The 21370-nt window shown below is 34.3% G+C and overlaps 2 protein-coding genes across 12 annotated transcripts in view, besides 1 other annotated feature; one reads left to right on the top strand and one right to left on the bottom strand.

Moving 5' to 3' along the window:
* CEP57 (centrosomal protein 57) overlaps positions 1–144 on the bottom strand; it is a 42680-nt gene extending 42536 nt beyond the window's left edge. Inside the window, exon 1 of the mRNA NM_001440869.1 lies at positions 16–144. The gene's annotated coding sequence lies outside the window, so the exon portion shown is untranslated. The remainder of the gene's footprint in view (positions 1–15) is intronic.
* Positions 349–768: a silencer, noted in NCBI's record as "silent region_3851". NCBI's record gives its function as "represses an Ori minimal core promoter by ATAC-STARR-seq in GM12878 lymphoblastoid cells {active_cell/tissue: GM12878}" and the evidence as "EXISTENCE:reporter gene assay evidence [ECO:0000049][PMID:35858748]".
* Positions 376–21205, top strand: FAM76B (family with sequence similarity 76 member B). Of its 11 annotated transcripts, none has more exons than XM_047426410.1 (11): positions 376–766; positions 1211–1289; positions 1595–1659; positions 2480–2534; positions 3884–4039; positions 6894–7093; positions 10232–10279; positions 10471–10551; positions 11201–11336; positions 14135–14236; positions 18508–21205. In XM_047426410.1, exons 2-11 carry the CDS (start codon positions 1281–1283, stop codon positions 18595–18597), a joined length of 942 nt encoding a protein of 313 aa, XP_047282366.1. In that variant the 5' UTR covers positions 376–766; positions 1211–1280; the 3' UTR covers positions 18598–21205. The 11 variants fall into 11 exon arrangements, 10 of the variants coding, with proteins under 10 accessions (XP_047282366.1, XP_011540912.1, NP_001317286.1 ...); XM_011542610.3 differs by having other exon boundaries at positions 1132–1289; NM_001330357.2 differs by lacking the exon at positions 1211–1289 and having other exon boundaries at positions 11204–11336.
* Positions 21206–21370: the final 165 nt, after the last annotated feature.

Below are 21370 nucleotides of genomic sequence, written 5' to 3'. Positions count from 1 at the left end.
AGGTGAAGTATTTACCTTTTGGCCAATAACAAATAGGATTAGGAGGGACTTAACGATTTAGTCCAATAGAAAGCAAGGGAAAAAAAGTTGCGGCAGAGAACGAGCCTTTCGCGAACATTTGCTCAATTGGATTGGGGCGCTCTCAGCCAAACCTGGGACTGGCTGTTAGAAATAGCCGCGACCGCAGACCTTTGGGCGGGGCAGGTTCAAAGCGGATTTCGCGCGCTGAGAGCTCCGGGATGTCATTGGCCGGCGACATCCTCCCTTTGTGGGCGCTTCCTGCGTCGCGGAAGTTGGGAGTTGGGAGGAGCCATCGAATGACGCGATAGCCTTCGCAGCCAATCAGGGATGGGAAAGGGAGGCCGAGAAGGAAGCGGATCCACGGCCGCACAGCTAAACAGCAACCCCCTACCCGCTTCGTCTCCCTCCGCCGCTATCGGGGCCTAAGCGGGAGCGGCTGGCACGGCGTCACTGGGTGGGCTGGGGCGGAAGTGGAGGCGGAGGGAGACGGTGGCGTCGTCCGCGGGGCCCTGGGCTCTCGCGGCGAGGCCCTGGTGGGCGCGAGGCAGGGGGAGGGGGAGGAGGAGGAGCCCGCGGCCCGGGCGGCGGCGGCTCTCGGGTTCTCCGTAGGGCCCCGCCTCGGAGCGGGCGGCGGCGGAGGAGGAGACTGAGGAGCAGGATGGCGGCCTCGGCCCTGTACGCCTGCACCAAGTGTACCCAGCGTTATCCTTTCGAGGAGCTCTCCCAGGGCCAGCAGCTCTGCAAGGTCCGTGGGCTCCGGGAGGCGGGCGGGATGGGTGTCCTCGGCCGTAGCCGGAGGGGGCCGGGTAGCCGCTGCACTGCAGCCCCTCTTCGCCGGCGCCTCAGGGGTTTGGGAGTCTGGAGCCCTCGCCTCCCCACTCGGGGACCCCTTTTTCTGGGGGCTTGAACATTAGCTGGGAACGGACCCTGAAAGGGAGGCAGAATCGTGCCCTTTTCCAGGCGGCCCAGGAGGGTGCCGGGCCCCGTCAGCGTCTGGGGGTCTCAGGAGTGGGGTTGAGTGAGGCAGCCACCTGTCTATGCCGCAGAGACCCAGGGGTGGAGATGTTTTCATCTCGGTTTTCTGCCTGGTCTGTCCTCTTCTTCCACCAGGAGGCAGGGGACGGTTTTTGCACTTTCTTGCTAGGAACCCGAAGCCGCAAAGCTGATGGCATCCTTCTTCCCTGTCCAGGAAAGCGAAGCGACTGGTTTGGGAACAGAATGCTCTGATTTGGAGCTCCTCCCATCCCATTAAAGCCTGGATGCTGTCTGTGAGCAACGGTGCAAAATAATAAGTAGTTTCACATTTAACCAATCCTTGAAATAGGCCCTGACAGCTTTCTTAATTTGTCTGTAATATACCCCCACGTCTACTAAAGACAAAGACACCTGTGCCTTCCCTAAGGAATTATATTGTGATTGGCCACTTATATGATAAAGCATCCAGTTCTTTACGTTGGGGCCAGGTTTTATAAATGTTTTAGACTTTCACTAGGTTGGGTAAACAGTTTTCTACCAGAAAAGTGAGATTTGGGACTTTCAGAAAGATACTGACTAATGTATTGTCTTATTACAGGAATGTCGGATTGCACATCCTATTGTAAAATGTACTTACTGCAGATCAGAATTTCAACAAGAGAGGTTTGTATACTGAATAGTTTTTGACTGTTAAAGACAAGTGTTGTCTTTATGGAATACTTGGGGGTTGTAATCCCATGTTTTTATGAAAGTATTTTTAAAAAATGGTTTAGCCCCAGAAATTTTAAGTTGTAAACCTTTTATACATGGTGGGAGAGAGAATGTTGCGAAAAAAACCAGTGGTGGTTAATTTACAGTTAGACTTTATATGAGAGAAGGAATAATACTACATGGAAAATGTACAGCCTTGCTAATGAAAATGCAAATGTAAACAGTTATGTTAAACTAAAAAAAAATGGTAAAGCCTTAATGGATCTGAGGAAAGGTCTGTAGTGTTACCAACTGCCTTCCAAGGTGAAAATCTAATAATTTGTTACATAGAAGAGGAGTAGTACGTAACATTTTTAACAGTTCCACTCTGAGAGTATATACAGAAAGTAGCCTCAGAAAAGAACAAATAATTTCTTCATAAATAGGTGTGGGCATTATAATGTTGGACAGTAGCCAAGTGGAAGGTTAGGTAGGCACTGGTATTGTAATGCTGTGCAGTAATAGTGTCAAGTGTGAAGATTTTGGAGCTATATAGGAAACATTAAGATGTTTTGTTTACAAAAAGTAATATGCAATAAAAATGTATAAAAACATTTGTCATAAGTTAATTTGGGTAAAACAACTCTGAAAATATCCTTGTATATTTGAAAAAAATCCGTGGTCCTTATTAAAGTTTTAAGTACAACAAATCTTTGACTCATTTTATTTTGACATTGTGCTAATTACTTTAGAAAGCTACATAAACATGATCTATATACAATTTATTTTTCAGCAAAACTAACACAATTTGTAAGAAGTGTGCTCAAAATGTGAAGCAATTTGGGACGGTAAGTATGTCTTATGTTTTCATGTCATTGTTACCAGTTAATATTTTTCATAAAGCTGGACCTTTTAAAAAAATATGTACTGCTGGCTGGGCACAGTGGCTCACGCCTGTAATCCCAGCACTTTGGGAGGCCGAGGAGGGCGGATCACAAGGTCAGGAGATGGAGACCATCCTGGCTAACACGGTGAAACCCCATGTCTACTAAAAATACAACAAAAAAAAAATGAGCCGGGTATGGTGGTGGGCGCCTGTAGTCCCAGCTACTCCAGAGGCTGAGGCAGGAGAATGGCGTGAACTCAGGAGGCGGAGTTTGCAGTGAGCTGAGATCCTGCCACTGCACTCCAGCCTGGGGGACAGAGCGAGACTGCGTCTCGAAAAAAAAAAACTACTGCTATGCTCTTAGATATTTCAACATACCATATTTTATGAAAGACATTTTCTATAGATACTTTGATGGAAAGGTGATAACATTTAAAAACAGTCAAATTATATACCTGTTTTACATGTATTGAATCCAGTGTGAAATTTGTGAAGCTGTTCTTTAGAGATTCAAATATAGCAAATTCTTGGTTATGGAGAACTTATCCATAAAGTTTGCATCATCAGACTTTAGCCCACTTCAGAACAGCCTCCTCAGAACTATTTTTATAAAACAGCGCAATTAAAGATATTTATTCACAGAAGTCATGACCCAATCCTAGTACAAATTGTCTTATATGTATACTACAATCATTATAGGTATATTATACCAATATTATTTATTATTGGTCAAAAATGCTAACTTTAACGCTCTAAACTGCCCTGAATCATCTTTTGAATATCAAAGAAAATCAAGGTATGTTTTTATAGTTTATGTTGAATATGCTTGTTCTCATTTTTTCAAAGTTGAAAACTCACAGTATATATTCCTTATATGATTTGTACCTATATGTGATGAAAAGTTAACATTTTCTAAATAAATGATATGGTCATTAAGGTAACTAGGATATTAGTAGAAGGACGTTTCCTCAAATTCTTGATTCATGAGACTTCTCTACATATGTACCTTTATTTTCGTTCTTTAAAACCTTTTTTATGTGTAGTTTTTGTATTATCTAACAGACTATGCAAATCACAAATCTATTTCTCACGATCTTAGAGTAATAGTTACATGACTAGAAATAAATACTAGTTGAATGCATAGAAATATGGTATAAAAGTTATTGCATGTGACAGGGCAACAAACTTGACAGAAAACAAATTTTTTACCTGAGTTTTCTTAATTCCAGAAATATGTCTACAACACTGGGTATATGCTATGCCGCAAATATTTAATGTTTTTAAAAGTCTCAAAATGTGTATGTTTTTCAGCCCAAGCCTTGTCAGTACTGTAACATAATTGCAGCATTTATTGGTACCAAGTGTCAGCGTTGCACAAATTCAGAAAAAAAGTATGGACCACCTCAGACCTGTGAACAGTGCAAACAGCAATGTGCTTTTGATCGGAAGGAGGAAGGAAGAAGAAAGGTATGCTTTATTTATGTTATGACATCTTCTGGAAATTAAATAAAATGCCAAACAAGTTGGAAATTATAATTAATACACTACTGAGACTGGATCTATTCTTTAGGTCCATGAAAGCAAGTAGTTAGATGAAAGTGCAGGAATAGTGAGTTTTCTCTTTGTTTGCATGATACATAGATTCATGTACTATACTTTAAAAAATATTCTATGGTGGCTATTCTGTACTAGTTGGCTATCCCACATTTGGTTCAGGAGATTTAACTAATTGCTTAAATATCTCCTTTTACTTTACCCTTTTGCTAGTTACTTGACATCACTGGTGTGAAAAAAATACCTGATGGCACATTGGCACATAAAATTCAGTTACTCTTGTGCCTTTTGATAAAGGCTCATATTTGAAACTGTTGTTTGTTTTTGTCTACCTGCAGTGACTTAATGTAATAAGTATTTGTGTTCATGTGATAATTCCTTTGCCGATCAGCATTCACACAGGCCTCCTGTTGCCTATCAATTTTAGTTGATTTGGAGAATGACTACCTCTTTGAGGGGCTTCCTCAGGTCTCCCCACAGCAATGTACATATCCCATTATAAGACATGTCCCTCCAGCATGTCTGGTACATAAACATCATGGAATACTATGGATGGAATACATGTGAACAAACAGAAGATAAAAACTTGGTTTTATTTTTAGAGGTTTAGTCAGTACTTCTGGAAAGTCTCTTCTTTGACACAGGTACGATTGATTCTCATTATTTGTGGTAGTTCTTTAAAGTTCCCACAAAACAGTGAATACGGTAGTACCCACCTTATCCATGGGAGATACCTTCTAAGACCAGTGGATGCCTGAAACTGGGGATAGTAACGAACCTTACTGTGTTTTCTCCTGTACATACGTGCCTATGATAAAGTGTAGTTTTTAAATTAGGTATAACAGGAGACTAATAAAAATAATAACAAAATAGAACAATTATATTAGCATACCCTAGTTACAGTTATATGAATGTGGTCTTTATCCCTTAGAATAGTGTATTGTATGTAATATTTTTAGACTAAGGTTGACTATGGGTAACTAAAACTGTAGATAGGGGAGTACTGTATTGAAGCATTGCCCAAGAGAAATATAGGATTAAGTTCACATTTCCAGTAATAACATGTTGGTCAGTTGATCAATATATAACCTTATTTTGTTTGTGTTCCTGTTTGAAGATATCTCATTTAATGTATACTGTCGATTGGCCAGGCATGGTGGCTCATGCTTGTAATCCCAGCACTTTGGGAGGCTGAGGTGGGTGGATCATAAGGTTAGGAGATCGAGACCATCCTGGCTAACACGGTGAAACCCCGTTTCTACTAAAAATACAAAAAATTAGCTGGGCATGGTGGCAGGCACCTATAGTCCCAGCTACTCAGGAGGCTGAGGCAGGAGAATGGCGTGAACCCGGGAGGCGGAGCTTGCAGTGAGCCAAGATTGCGCCACTGCACTCCAGCCTGGGCGACAGAGACTCCGTCTCAAAAAAAAAAAAAAAATTGTGTGTGTGTGTGTGTGTGTATATATACACACACACACTGTCGATTAATTTAATTGCACTCATGGCCAACAGTGCTAAGAGTGCCTGAACATAACTTATGTAACACACATATTTTCTCTTTAAGACACATCACAGCCTTCGTAGCTTTCCTTTTTTTAAGTTCAGGGGTACATGTGCACGTTTATTATATAGGTAAACTTGTGTCATGGAGGTTTGTTGCACAGATTATTTCATCACCCAGGTATTAACCCTAATACCTATTAGTTATTTTTCCTGATTCTTTCCCTCTTCTACCCTCCACCATCTGATAGGCCCTAATGTGTGTTGTTCCCCTCAGTGTGTCCATGTGTTTTCATCCTTTAGTTCCTGCTTATAAGTAAGAACATGCAGGATTTGGTTTTCTGTTCTTTTGTCAGTTTGCTAAGGTTAATGGCCTCCAGCTCCATCCATATTCCTGGAAGGGACATGATCTTGTTCTTGTCTATAGCTGCATAGTATTCCATGGTATATACGTACCATGTTTTCTTTATCCAGTCTACTAACGATGGGCATTTAGGTTGATTCCATGTCTTTGCCATTTCACATTACAACCTTCTTGAGCCTAGGAACACTATACAGCACTTTGGCAGTACTCTTTGGGACTATAAAAACTTGAAAAACATGGCACTAAACAGACTGTGAAAAGGATACTTGTCTGAGAGGTGAAATAAATGAGGCAGAGCATCACCTTGTTCCACCTCAGCTGAGAATGTGTGCTATTGGGTGGCACAGATTTTTCACCACTCTTGTGTATGTGTGCAGTGGCCACAAAAGTGCTACAAGTCTTGATTTTTGGGTTACAGATACATTTTACTAGGTAGGCAAATACACGAATAGGAAATGCAAGAATAATGAGAAGCAACTCTGTGTGTCATTTAGATGCTTCTGTTTTTCTGTAAATTTACAGTACTTACTGTAGTGAAAAATTATTAGTAATGACACAGCGATATAAGAATTCAGGCTATATTTCTTGGAAGTATATCAGTCAGTTTATGCTTATTCTCCTGGAATAAGAAAAAAGGTAACATTTTCTTTTTCTTCAAATTAAAAATGCTTCAAAACTGATGTCATCCTCATCAGTTTTATAATTCTCCTAACAAGTATTTTCTCAAGTTTCAGAAAAGTCCAGTTTTATTTCTGTTTTGCAGAAAATCCGTGAATATGTGCATACATGCATTTGTGCATGTTACGTGTGGAATATAGGTGGAAGTTGAGTGGTTTATCTTACCTGGTTTCGTTTACAGCCAGTTTATATGGGTACATTTAATTTAACACATTTTCTTAAAAGGTTGATGGAAAGTTATTATGCTGGCTCTGTACTTTATCGTACAAAAGAGTTTTACAGAAGACGAAAGAACAAAGGAAGAGCCTGGGATCTTCACATTCAAATTCATCTTCTTCATCTCTTACTGAGAAAGACCAGCATCATCCAAAACATCATCACCACCATCATCACCATCACCATCGTCACAGCAGTAGCCATCACAAGTAAGTACTTTGAAATCATATTTTCTAAAACTCTTCCTTGCATTTTAATGCCATTTATTGATGTTTACTTCTTGCAAATATTGACTATGTGCTAGTCTAGTTTCCATTGTACACAGTAAGCATCTTGAGTGTCTAAGGCTGTGTCTCCATTTTATTCAGTGTAGAATGTTATATACATGAAATATGTTGAGCTGTTTACCATAATACAGATATTTAGGAAAATCTATAAAATTATAACCATGTAAAGTCAAAATACAAGTACGTCAGTTAATTAACACTTAAATAACTTATCAAAAGCCTCAGTATTCTTTTTTTGTTTAAATAATTGTTAAGGTTTTATTTGAAAAATTATATTTTAGTTGTCAATTTGTTTTAGTAAAAACAAATCGAAACAAACCAATGACTGGGTTTGGAGAACATATTTTAATACTATAATTTGTTACTATGATAGAAGCATTTCTGATCTTTGTGGTCCCCAAAATATGAGCAATATTTTTAACTAATGATACTTTGTGTTTTTTTCAAACATATATTTAGGAACTCTACTTAAATAGAGACAACTGTAGTTTTCCCTCAGTATGCTTGAGGGATTGGTTCTAGAACCCCCTCATAGACCAAAATTTGCATATACTCCAGTTCTGCAATTGACCCTGTGGAACCTGCCTATAGGAAAAGTTGGCCTTCTATATATGCAGGTTTCACATCCTCCAAATACTGTATTTTTGATCCGTATTTGGTTGGGAAAAAAAAATTCTCCTATAGGTGGTCCCATACATTTCAAACCTGGGTTGTTCAAGGGTCAGCTGTACTTGATTTTTAAAGTGACCTGTGGGGGGAGTTATGTAGTAGTAGTAGTACCTTAACCCTTGATGTGTGTGGTATAAAGATTTTTTAAAATGCAATTTTAGTCTTCACGGAAAAATCAAGAACATGAAAATACAAATTAAACTGACAAACACAAATTAAAATGGAAAAAACGGACATATGGCATGCCCATTTTCAGAATAATTTATTGTTTGTTCTTAAATTTTTCTGTGAGTCTTTAAAGTTTCAGATAGTTATTTAAAACAGAATTTACAAACAACTGATGCCCACCTCATTTTGGAACACATGCAGTATTTTTAGAATGTAATGTAGTTCTGTCTAATTAGTAAGATTTGTTGTAAACTGTATCCAATCACCTATTAGATTATGAGGTTACGTTGAGGTTAGTGATGTTTAATTCTACCATGTTGTAGTGTTTTCTAAATGTGGCAGTGGTAGACTACAATGCAGTGTCTTCTCTTCTGGCTGTTTTGAAGAAACCTTGTGATCTTTATATCAGAGTATTTCAAGAAGCAAAATAATATAAGTCTACCTTGTTTTTGCTTCTTGCTTTAAGAAAAAATATGACAAAATGACTATATACCATAATAGCATATGTCAGACCTACTTCTAAGACTCCCAAAATGTCTCCTTTCCCTATTCTTTACAGATAAATTTGTCTTAGCATGATGTAAAAGGACACAATCAGATTATGTTTGTGAAGACTAAAGTATGTGACAGCAACTTAATTTTTTGAAAGAATGACAGGTTTCAAAAATAAAGGGAAAGAGAACAGTATTGAAAATGAAAGTCTTCAATTTTTTTACTTCTGGTTACTTATGAAATACAAACACTATTTTCTATTTGATGGCTGTTGACCATTTGATGAACAGTTACTTTGTAGGGTCCTATCTTAAGTTCAATAGATCAGAATGAAAATGAGGAGCATTCATATTGTGATAGATAGTGATCGGCAGGGGTAGGGGATGTGGTTGCCAGGTGGCACTAAGGTGGGTCTGAATCTAGGAATGGACAACCCTCAGAAAGATAAGATGGGAATTCCAAGTGTTTCTGTCAGTGATATTAATGTGATTATTCTTAACTTTGAGATATGGTTAGTGCTGTTAGTTCATGTATGGCTTGTTAGGCTTATAATGAAATTTGTGGGAAAAAAAAAAAAGGGACAACTGCATTCCTCAATAGGATTTCCATTCATTCACAAGTAAGAATAACTCACTTGATGGAATTATTGCTATTAACATTTTTTTCCCAACTTGGTACTTGTTTACAGCTGAGTCTTAAGGTTTGTTTTTTTCTTTTGCTTAAAAAACTTCTACAGCTGAACCAATAGTAAATTTTAGACACAAGTAAACATGTATATATATATATGTCTATTTTGTATATGCTAGCACTGTACTAAGTGATTTTACATATATAACTCATTTAATGCTCATATCAGTATAAGGTATGTATTACATATGAGGGAACTAAGGCTGGGGATGTTAAGTAATTTGCATAAGGTCACAGCTCAGGTATTCTAACATCTTCTAAATCGTATAAATACGTGGCATCTGGTTCATAGGAGATGCTCTCTACATGCTGAGTGAATAAGCTAGGGTTAGTGAAGCATTGACTGATATGCAAGTTTAGGAGGAAAAAAATGAAGGATTCATGATGAATTATAAAGTGATTATTAGTATTAGGGTAAAATAGAAAAGGAGTATTACAGTATTAATTATGAGTAAAAGTAAAATAATTTGTTACTATGAAATTTCTCAATAGTTTCAGCGTAACTTCTCCAGAATACTAACTAAAGAGAGCTCTATGGACTTTGGAGAGGATTCTTAAGAAAACTAGGAAAGAATCAAAGAAATCAATATATTTCCCCATTTAAATTGAAATACTATTCTGAGCAACTTGAGTTACTCCAAAAGAAGAATCTCTACTTCAGATTATTAGGAAAGCCTTAACTTTAAAGATACAAATTTTGTGTCTGAAATAGTAAGGGCAGCCAAAGTACAGTGATACCTAGACACAAGCACGAAAACTACTTGTGTAACCCACCCTTTGTATGATATTAAATTGAACTGTGGAGATCCTGATTATAAAGAATTCTTGAAGAACTTGAGATGGTTAGCAGTCATTTTATTAAAATTTATTTCATCAGAATGTGATTTATTCAATATGTATTAGCTTAGTCTGAAAACTTAAATATACCTTTCTCTGAAGAAAATATTATAAACATAAAATTTGTATCCATTGAGAAAGAATGTTAAATTTAGATGTATTAAATAAATAAATGTCATTATTAGATGTCATTTGTGTATTTTTCAGAATCAGCAATCTAAGTCCAGAAGAAGAGCAGGGACTGTGGAAACAGAGGTAAATACATTGCTGTATTTTCTGAAGTATTTTGAAATGTATATTTATAAATGTGATATCCCTTCAACTTTGTTACTTAAGTCTTACCAAAATCAGTATTTTCAGTAATATTTTAGGGGAAGATGAATAACTTATCATTTGGTTTCTCTGTCCTTTTTACTCTAACTATTCTTATTAATGTTTGGTTTCAGCCATAAATCCTCTGCAACAATTCAGAATGAAACTCCAAAGAAAAAGCCCAAATTGGAATCTAAGCCATCTAATGGAGATAGGTAAAAATGAATTCTTTTAGTGTTATGAAAATTCAACTTAGTTGAATAGTTATGGTTGAATGCCAGTTATTACTAGATAAAAAAATAGAAACATGTATTTTCTACATTGACTTGAGTCACCTAGAAGAATAAACATAAATTAGTTTAAAATTTTTAGCTTAATTTTGGCAATAAGAAAGTGGCACTGAACTATGTTGTTCTATTTGGGAAATAAATTTGGGTTTTGAAGAAACAAATTTGAATGGAGAACATTATTTTTATCTTTATTCTTCAGTGAAACACAAATCTAATTGTGATATTTTAAATTGACCTGCTTAGAAAATGTTTTTAGATTAAAAATATTATGAGCGTTACTTTGTTTTAGTTCATTAGCCAAAAGTTTGCTGATGTTACTGTACAAATTGGCTGCCTATTGCTTTACACTAGAAGTATTGACCCCCTTAAAGCTAATACTGAATTATATTTCTGCAGGTGTATGTAATGTGTGCCATTAGTAAGGTAATTTGCCAGTTGCATCCATTTCTGTCAGGTACATATTTTTTTGCATTAGCCTTAAGGATGTTTGTGGAATTGTCTAATTTATGCAATTTGAACACCTGCTAATTTTCCTTCTACTTCATTTAACTGTGTTTTACTTTTTTCTTTTTAGTAGCTCTATAAATCAGTCAGCAGATAGTGGGGGAACAGACAATTTTGTCCTTATAAGTCAATTGAAAGAAGAAGTGATGTCACTTAAGCGTCTCTTACAGCAGAGAGACCAGACCATTTTAGAAAAAGATAAAAAGGTAAGAACATGGTTCATTGAAGCCTGGTAAGAGTTATGTGTTGACTGTTGCTTGATAATCGCAAATTTTATTAGACTTCCTTTAATAATTTGGTAATGTTTGTTGTGCGTGATTTTTATAAGACAAATTACAAAAGCCCCTGAAGCCATCTAATGAAGATGGGTAAAAATGGTCTTTCAGATTTTTAGTTCTAAGAATTAACTGAGGCTTAATTAGGATAGTAATTTCCAAACTTTAATTTTCAGTAAGCATGTAATTTAAAAATAGATCTAATACCTAATTAAAAATGAGATGTAAATGGAATATTTCATAAACTTTTTTGATTTAAGAATGTAGTTTGAACAGTCTTTGATATAACATTCATATATTTGTATCAATCCAGTCATATATTTGTATCAATCCAGATCAAAATACTGCTGAAAAGTAATGGTATGGGAATTTCCTGTAGTAGTCAGTAATAGTAATTAGCAATAGATGTCTAAAAGCTCATTGTGTAGGAAGTAAGTGTACTTATTGGGACTTCATCAGTTAAATGAAGAGGAATATTAAAATGTGTTGTTCATTTAGTGAAAAGAGGAATATTAACAGAATTACAGAAGGATTTAAGGTCTTGTGCTATGAAATCAGGATGGCACAATAGTGGACAGGCATGGAACAGGAAACAGTTTTGAAGTAATTTAGCCATACTTAGATTCAAATCCTAGTTCTAACATTTTCTGTGTGACCTAAAGCAGAATGTGTGCTTCTTTGGACCTCAGTTTTCTCATTTAAATGAGAGCATTAATATTATCTGAAGTGATGGTTTTGATGATTAATGAAAATGCAAAGTATTTATTATAGCTCCTGGTATGTATAAGTGCCCATAGGGGCTATTACTGTTTGATCATCTTTTGTACTTGTTTTATGGTCCCAGACAATGTAGTTTGACCTGTATCAAATGTATTATGCAGTAGGAGAACACTAAAATCATTTCTTTTAAAAGAATAAGGCCTTAATATGAATACATATATGACTTATATCCATCTCTAAGTCTGTGCTGAGTTGGCTTTTACTTCTGGCATTCAGTAATTTTTGATACATTTTGCCACACCTTGATGGTTAGTGGGCTTAATTTATTTTAATACATTTGTAGCTTACTTTAAGCAAATTTAGTATATGAAAATTAGGAGTGACATATAAAATAGGATAGTTACGGGTGTCTTTGTCTTATGGTTCTTTTTGATTGACAGCATTTTTTAAATTAATGAGCCTTTATGGAAATTTGTCCTGTGTACAAAGTTTTAGAGACAGGCCAGATATATCTGCATTAGCCTTGAGAAAAGTTGAATAAAATGCCAACTTTACTGCAAAATAGCAATGATTTCAAAACCAAGTAGTAATCAGTTATAGAATATTGACTGCTAGATTTTTCTTTCCTCTCTAGCATAAGAGGTACTATCTTTGTATTGTGCAGTTAATTGAAGTTTTCTGCTTTTGTTAGTGTTCCTCTTTAAAAAAATCACAACACTAATGGGGATTGAAATTAGCATTGTTGTAAGGAAAATCCTAATGGTAAACCTAAAATAACTATACATTTGCAACTTTTTCTTATAAATCTAAGATGATGAAGTTATTTTACTGAATTGATTTCACAAAGTTATTTAATGATTTCTAGAGCCAGACACTGAACTAGATCATGAGGATACAAAGATGAATAAATAAGACATAATTCTTATTTTCCAGAAGTTCATAGTGAGGAGGCAACTCACAGTGTAGTGAATAGAGTAATTGTCTTAGCTGATCTGGTGTATGTTGGCATTTCAGAACAGAAAATCTTTTGTGATTAGAGAAAGTTAGAGAGAGAGAACTTAGTTATACTTTGAATTTGACAAAAGCAAGGGTTTTTTTTTTTAATAAGACTATAAGACTCCATGATTTTCTCTATTTTTGCTGTTGTATGTCTTTCAGTTTATTAGATACTGGGTAATTACAAAGGAGAATGTGTAAACCTTTAAAGCTGGCATAATGAAAAACATTAAAAAATAACCTGGAGTTCCCTCTGCATGGTTCTAATAGTGAAATTACATAATAACTTATTTAGTTTGAAGTCATGAGATATTATACTGTTAGGTATGTCATTTATGAAAAATTATCATGTAGCCTTCTTCCTCAAAGCACTGATTTTTTTCTTGTATTTGTCTAATTTAGCCCAAATTTTATAGTAACCTTCTTTCCTTTCTCATTCTGTGTTAGTTGTATTTCTGTGCTTTGTTCTCTATTTTTACCTCAAGTGTTAGGTGGTATTGTGTACATAATCCTGGACATAAATTAAAAAATGAAAACAGTGTAGCTTTTGGCTGAAAAGACCATTCCTTTTTATATTACCCAGTGTGAAATTTCTTTCTTTAAGCATTGAAAGATTATTTTACGCATAAGCTAGTTTAAATGTTTATATTGTTTTTACTATTATTGAAGTACATTTTTAAATGAGGCATTTTCCCAGTTATTAGCCGTTAAGCTTTTTTCGTTGGCATACCAGTTGCCAAACTCTATTTCCAGTCGAGCCATGTTTAGGAAAAAAAGAAAACTGAGAAGTTTTACTGATGGTCAGGTATTAACATTAAAATTATACTATTGTGAAGCAGATAGACTTCATCATTTCACCAAACAAACTTTAGATAGCTTGTACAATTCAGGAAACTGCAGTTAACATCTTCTACTTTTGTAATGAAATGTGAGTTTATTGTGAAAGTTATTTAAAATGGTGTGTGTGTGTATGTGTGCAAATATATACATATATTTTTTCTTTAATCTCTCAGTTAACTGAACTAAAGGCAGACTTTCAGTACCAAGAGTCAAATTTGAGAACAAAAATGAACAGTATGGAAAAAGCCCACAAAGAAACTGTGGAACAACTTCAGGTAACTACCATCATTTACGTAAAATGATAGGCAAGAAGGGCTAAACTTGAGTAATAGCATTCATTGACTTAGATTGTTATTGGTAGCCCTATTTTGTGCATAGTTGGTGCATTTCAGTTTTGATTTTGACTTTATAATCATTTTTAATCTTGATCTCATTAGAAGTTATTGTTTGAAATTACTTGAAAGGGGGATTCAGTACTTTAATCTTGAAAACTTTTGCCTAAACTTCAAATGGAGTTTTTGGAGGAGGGTATCATTGGAGTGTGTTCAATTAATTATTGGGCTTATAGCAAAAAATTAAAAATCAGATTAATGAAACTAAGGTGAAAAGCAGGTCTTCAGTAGCAATCATTCCTCACATTAATATTTCCTTCCAGATAATGGGAAAGGAGATGGGTGTATAAAACCAATTCTTAAGGACCTGGAGTGGCAAAAATGTGTGCAAAGCAAGAGAGTTTACTTAACCTGTGTACAGTGGTTCGCAAAGTGCCAAATAGGGTTCTGCTAAATGCTAACAGGTAGTGATCCACCTGAACCTCAGAGTACTGCAAAGTAGCAGTTTAAGTATACAGAACAACTGAATGGTAAAGTCAAGAGTCACCACAGTAATAATCTGATGTCTGGCATGCAGAGATGGTGAACATCCAACATGGATACAGAATGCTACCATATTAAGCTGCTTCTCTTCTAGGTTTCATACATTTAGAAATCAGACCACACTAAATTAATTACATGTTCTCTTTGATTTATACAGTCTCACATTTGTAAAATTAGTCTTTAGTAACAAAATTTTTAAGGTGAAAGAAGTTTTAAATGTTAATGGAAGATGGCAGCACACAGACGTCAGACTTGGGAGAGTACAGCTTCAGAAGGAAGGAGTTAATACTGTCCTGTTTCATTTTGTTTTTTTTTTTTCACATTGTAACACCAAAGGATATTTGCTATTTCTTTCTTTTGGTTTTGTATTATTCATACTTCTTTGCAAGTAGCTTAAATTAGTAGGATTTAGGAACTTGCTCAAATTCGAGGTACAGATTATCTGGTCTTAATCCCTATCATACTATTACAAAGACTGTTGAAAAAGGAACCTCATGTAGAACCTGAGACATAGTAGGCATTCAAATAATTTGTTGACTAGGTGGTGATTTATGGAAATGCCCATCAGCCCTCTGTTCTGAGAGATTGCCCGTATCATATATCAGATTCTTATATATTAGTCAATGTTTTTATCCACCAGCAAGTATTATTTTTAATTTTATGTTATTCCTGTTTTTCTTACTCAGTTATTAATGCTGAATGATTACCTGGAACAAAATCTTCCACCTGGTGATCTTTGATTTAATGTAATGTAACCAAAGCTCTGAAGTAAATCCAGAATGAGATAACAGAATAACTGCAATAGGTGCTCAGATATGTTTTAACTTAGTGCTCCCCACTGTTCAAAAGAGCAGTTTGTGTGTTGGTTTTTCTTTTTTAAAATCATAGTTGCAAATACATGGGGTCATCTTTGACTTAGCCTGATAGATATCTTAGGCCTACCTCCTCTTGGTAATTGAAGTTTCATGTAGTATAAAAGTAACCAATATTTAAATAGGACATTTTGACATGATTTTACATATGCTGTCTTACTTGTTGCAAAAACTGGGTTATGTGATATGCCCATTTTACAGAGGAAACTGTGATCACACAGTAAGCGGTGACGTAGAAATCTCTGTCTTCTCACTCCAGTTTATCTATACTTTTCCCTGTCCTACACTAGTTCCCACCACTTCAGGTTCCTCAGGTTTTCTATTTCATCCTTCCTATCAGGCCACTTCCCTGATTTTTTTGTGTTATGGCTAGAGACAATCTGTCATAGCTGAGTGCCATCTTTTTACCTCACTTCCTTTAGCAACCAAGTGATACTAGTAGGATTCTTTACTGAGGTGAGGAAACCGGTAATTTTTTTTTTATCTTTATGTAATAAGGAATTGAATCCTGTGACACAAGATGGATCTTGCTCTAATAGCTAGTAAAATATTTTTAACTGCCAAACCTACGACAAAACACTGAACATCACATGAAAAAATTGTTCAAAATGTCACCCCAAAATACCCCAAATATTGAAAATACTAAGAATATCAAGTTAAAACTCTTATTCACTTAATTAGGTAAGTGGTTAAAAGGAAAAGGGACCTAACATTTGAGTGCCTTCTGTGTACCAGGAACTGTGTTAGGCTAAGTGTTTTATATATTTGATAAGTTCCTTCAACTCATTTTGAGTTCGGATGGTGGAGTTTGTGTTACAAATGAGAAAATATGCTCCAGGTTATGTAGCTGGTAAGTAAGCCAGGATTTAAAGCAGGATCTATGTAATTCTTAATCCTGATATTCTTTCCTTTGCACCAACATGTCTAAACTTTAAAACTTAGCTTTCTTAAGAGTCTGTAAAGAATTTCATTGATTTTTTTTTTTTTTTTTGGCTGGCTGCAAAATGAAGTAATTTTAGGATAAAACAATTTAAATGTACATATATTGAAATATGGCATAAAATTCATTTTTAAAGTATTCAAATTAGAATAATTTGGACTTGTACTTAACAATTGTGTTATTTATTTACCATAAAGACTTTTGTCTTATGTAATTTATTAAGAAATATCTTTATTAGTGATATAAATATATTAAAAGCAAATTGGAAATTAGCTACCAAAGCATTAAATGGAAAAATTGCTTTGAAGACCTAATGTTCAAATTATTGTATTTTGTACTTAAAATATGAAAATTATAAACACTTTATTTCTTGATAATTGAGATAAGAACTTGGAGATTCACATTTTAACTATTTTGTATCAGTATAAACATTTTTAGATAAATATAACTTAACAGATCTAGTGGAGATCTTTTTGAGTCAAATTTGCAGACTCAAAATTTGAAATTGATACTGAATTTGAAATTGAAGTTTTTCGTTACCACCTTAGTTATTAATAACCACTGAATAGGAAAGTTCTATTGATCATGCATCTGAACATAAAAAATTATTTGATTTGCACATATAAGATAGTACTGAGAATATTTGCATTTTAGAGGTCATGGGTGTTAATTAGCAAGAGTGATTGGAGAAGAAGGGTGGGGGAATGGAAGAATAAAGTTTGAAAAAGGTTATTTCATGAAACCACTTTAAGATGGCATACAGAGAAGGCAGAGTGTTATCTGCCCGTAAAAAGCTAAAATTAGAATAAAATATGAAGTACTGAGATTAAAAAAGTCTGTCTATATAATAAAAATTCCTGGAACCTGTGAAGGAAAATGGTGTTGAAACATAAGTCAGAGGATATCTTTTTAAAATGTGTTAATTTTAGGGCAGTGCTCTATTTTCATCACTTTCCCCATTTTGGCTCAAACTACAAAAATGCTTGATCATTAATGTATTTGTATATATAGGGATCCTTACTATCTAAGTTTTCATATTTAAGAGACTGAATAAGGTGACAAAGGCAGTCAAAATGTGAAAATATTCACTGTACTTACACATTCCTCTTCACTAAACTAGTGATGGATGGACATTTAATAATGAAATTCAAGTCAGATGATGAAATGAAATTTTGAATCTTTGTAAAAATTCAAGCTTTCATGAGATAGGAAATGATGATGTGGAACTGCTCAAACCACACTAAAATCAGTGTCAGATGACTGGTAACTAAAGGAACAACAAGATAATGAGTGGTTCTGATGGGTGCTTTAAAAAAAATTGAATATCATTGGGTGCATTTGGCAAAGTAACAAATTCTGAGTTGTTTTTGCAAAAATGACCTCTTATGCTTGTTCTACAAGAGAGTAAACATAGAAAAAAGACCTTATACAGCTTGCCAGGAAATACTCCTCCCAAATCTTGATTCATTCTTTGATTTTATTAATTGTAAATTACAACTTATTTTCATAGTTTTCATGTTTTTAAGATGAAGGGCCAAACACCTTTTCCCTATTAAAATTTGGACCTTCTTTTAAGTGGATTCACTTTGTTTCCTTTTTTGTAACCAATTGTGCATCTTTGGACACAATTATATTAATAATGACATATACAAAGGGGGCTGATGAGCCAATCTAGAATTTTCCTTCTGCATGTTCATCCTTAAAGAGATGAATGTAAAGGTATCAACTCTTTCATTTAATGTTAGTGCTTTAGTGAAACATTTATATAAATGAAAACAGTATTAAATAAGTAGTATTCTTCAGCATGACTTAATAATATTTCAAACATTTTTAATCTTGAATGTTTTTGTCTCCCACAGGCCAAAAACAGAGAACTACTCAAACAGGTCGCAGCATTATCAAAGGGTAAAAAATTTGACAAAAGTGGAAGCATACTAACATCTCCTTGAGAAAGTCATTTGTTTAGCATTTCTTCTTACAATGTAAATTTGGGGAAAAAAAATTCTGTGAAGCCCTTAAATTCTGTGTAGTAGAAAAATATTTTTGCACACCAAATGAATTGGTGTGTTTCCTGTTCACTTTTGTAATTGATATACAGCATTTTTTAAGTTGTAAAACATTCAAATAAAACTTCAACTGGTTTGAAGTAACTTTTTAATTATTTGATATCCAGGAACTTTTTTGCCAGCAATAGTATTAAACAGTTGTAAAGGAGTGCATGAGTAGTGCTCTTTATGAAACGCAACATGCAATAATAGAGTAGGTATGGTTTCAGAAGTCAGAGCAGCAGGGTTTTTTTGTTTTGTTTTTGTTTTACACTATGCTAATTTCAGACAAACAGTTTTCAATTTAGAAATACAAAAACTTTTAAACTCGAAAAATGGCGAACACTGGTTTTTTGGGAATTGTGTTTTTACTTTGCATCAAGATGAATTTAGGAGAAAATCACGGTGCTTTTATTAAATGAACTTCAGATATATGTAAATTTGTTTTTTAAAGTTACATCATTAACATTAGTAACCTAGCATTTTCATTATTGGTATAGGAATTAATGTTTATTGTACAGTATCTAAGGTAAAATGTGTTTCTGTTTTGTAAAAACTACTGTAGATTTTTACTTACAAGTGCCTTTTTGCCACCTAATGTTTTTATTTATAGGAATGCTGATCTTTTGTACATACATTTTGTTTTAAAATCATGTTTAATAAATGTTTGTATATAAATGCATATGTACAGAAGCCTATTTCAAAAGGAAATCAAAGTTGCTAGTAAAATGTTTGAGATTACATTTAGAACTAACTGATAATGCATATAGATTGTAGAAAATTTTGTGATTTGTTTCTGTGTGATAAGGGAAGCTGTTGGTCTTTGAATTCATTTAATTATGTCAAAATAGTTCCCCAAAGATTTAATTTTAAGTTGCTTCTTAAAGAGTAATTTTATTTTTTATGTCATGTGGCTTCATATTAGTATTGTGTGAGTTACATGTTTTGCTTTATATTTTATAAAATTTTTTAAAAATTTTAATGTTTCTGCAATGATCCATGTATCTGCTTTCCCTATGTGTGGTTATCTAAGTTAATATTTATGTACAATGTAATTTGTAAATTTAAAGCAAATCTGAAAAAAATTAAATGATCTTTTTAATCCAATCTGTGATAATCTTTGAATAAATTGGAATCTACTATAAGATTCAGGCATTATAAGTAAATTGTCCTAAAGTCTTTAAAATTGTCTATAAAAGGTTAAGGTAGGGTGGGATAGGTTATATGAAGTTATTGACTATATTCTGATCCAGCGGTTTTCAGCCTGAAATAGAATTTATCTCCTAGTTATTATCAGTTCAGAGTTTTAGTTTGATTTTAAAGTATTGCTAGATACACTGTATAGAGTGAGTTGCTTCTCTTAATAATTTATGGGCAAAGATAAATTTGCTTCATGTAAAACTGTTACTAAATTTATAAGTTTTAAAGGTTTTGTTTTATACAAGCATTGATTGTGAATGTCATATCAAAGATTGGCTTTCTTAAGAACACATGATTGAAACAATTTTTTTTTAACATGACGTGTTTCAATAGACTGTTCTCATAGTTCATTATAAAGTGAATACCAAATAATTCTTTGTCCATTTTGAAAGCATAATATAGGGTAATTTTCAAGTGATACAAAAAGATTCAGTTAGAATCTTGTAAACTAAACCAGTTTATTTTTATGGGATCTTCATGTAATAATTTTCTTAAATTTAGTACTCTCAACCATGATAGATAATGCCTTAACATGGATTTTAACGTTTGCAGGATTTGCTAAATTCATAAGATAGTTATTACCTTTCTTTGAAATTTGTAATGTTTTATATTCTTGTTTCATAGCCATTTGTCAGTCCACAGTGGTCATTATGGTTTTACTTTTTGATAGTTCTTACACCTTGTTGGAGAAACTACAAAAGAAAGTTGTCCTCGTCCTTCCCCTTAGCTAACATCAAAATTAAAAAGTTGAATATTAATATTAGCTAACATTAAAATGGAAGGTAATTCAGTTTTAGTGTTAGCTAACATTAACAGTCTAATAATTTAGCTTTGTAAATTCCAAGGCTAAAACCCTTTCATGGGCTTCACAGTATTTAGTCCTAATTAAATACCCTTCTTTATTCCATGACCTTATTTTATAACTTAAATTTTTTTGCAATTGTATAAATTAGTAATTCAGTCCCAGTCCTGGATCTCTGTAGTGTTTTGACATAATAAACTGATATTCTTTAAATGTGGACCTGTAAGGAGATACTATGGTGTGGTGTATTGTGCTTTTAGCCTGTTTTCCACTATTAATTAGCATTTACCAGTAAGGGTCATTTTGACTCAAGTTATTTATGTATTAATAGCCTGTGAATATTGCAGTCCTTTTTAGATTATATTGGTCTAAATATGCATTCTGCAGTGAACCTGTTAAGCTGTTCACATGTATAGACTATTGAAATACTGTACTTGTACACATCTGACTGTTGACATTTTGTACTTTTTTCTAGATCCAATATTTCACAATAAAAAACTTGTCAAAGGCTTTGTATTAGTTTTCAATGGCTGCTGTAACAAACTCCCACACACTTAGTGTCTTAATACAACAAAAATTAATTCTTTTATGGTTCTGGAGGCCAGAAGTCCAAAATCAGGTTTACTGGTCTAAAGTCAAGGTATTGGCAGGATTGCTTCTTTCTGGAGGCTGTAG

This window comes from Homo sapiens, chromosome 11 (genome assembly GCF_000001405.40).
Source record: "Homo sapiens chromosome 11, GRCh38.p14 Primary Assembly".
NCBI classification, from domain to species: Eukaryota; Metazoa; Chordata; class Mammalia; order Primates; family Hominidae; genus Homo; species Homo sapiens.
The sequence above is the reverse complement of the archived record's forward strand: the minus strand, read 5'-3'. Positions and strand labels throughout refer to the sequence as shown.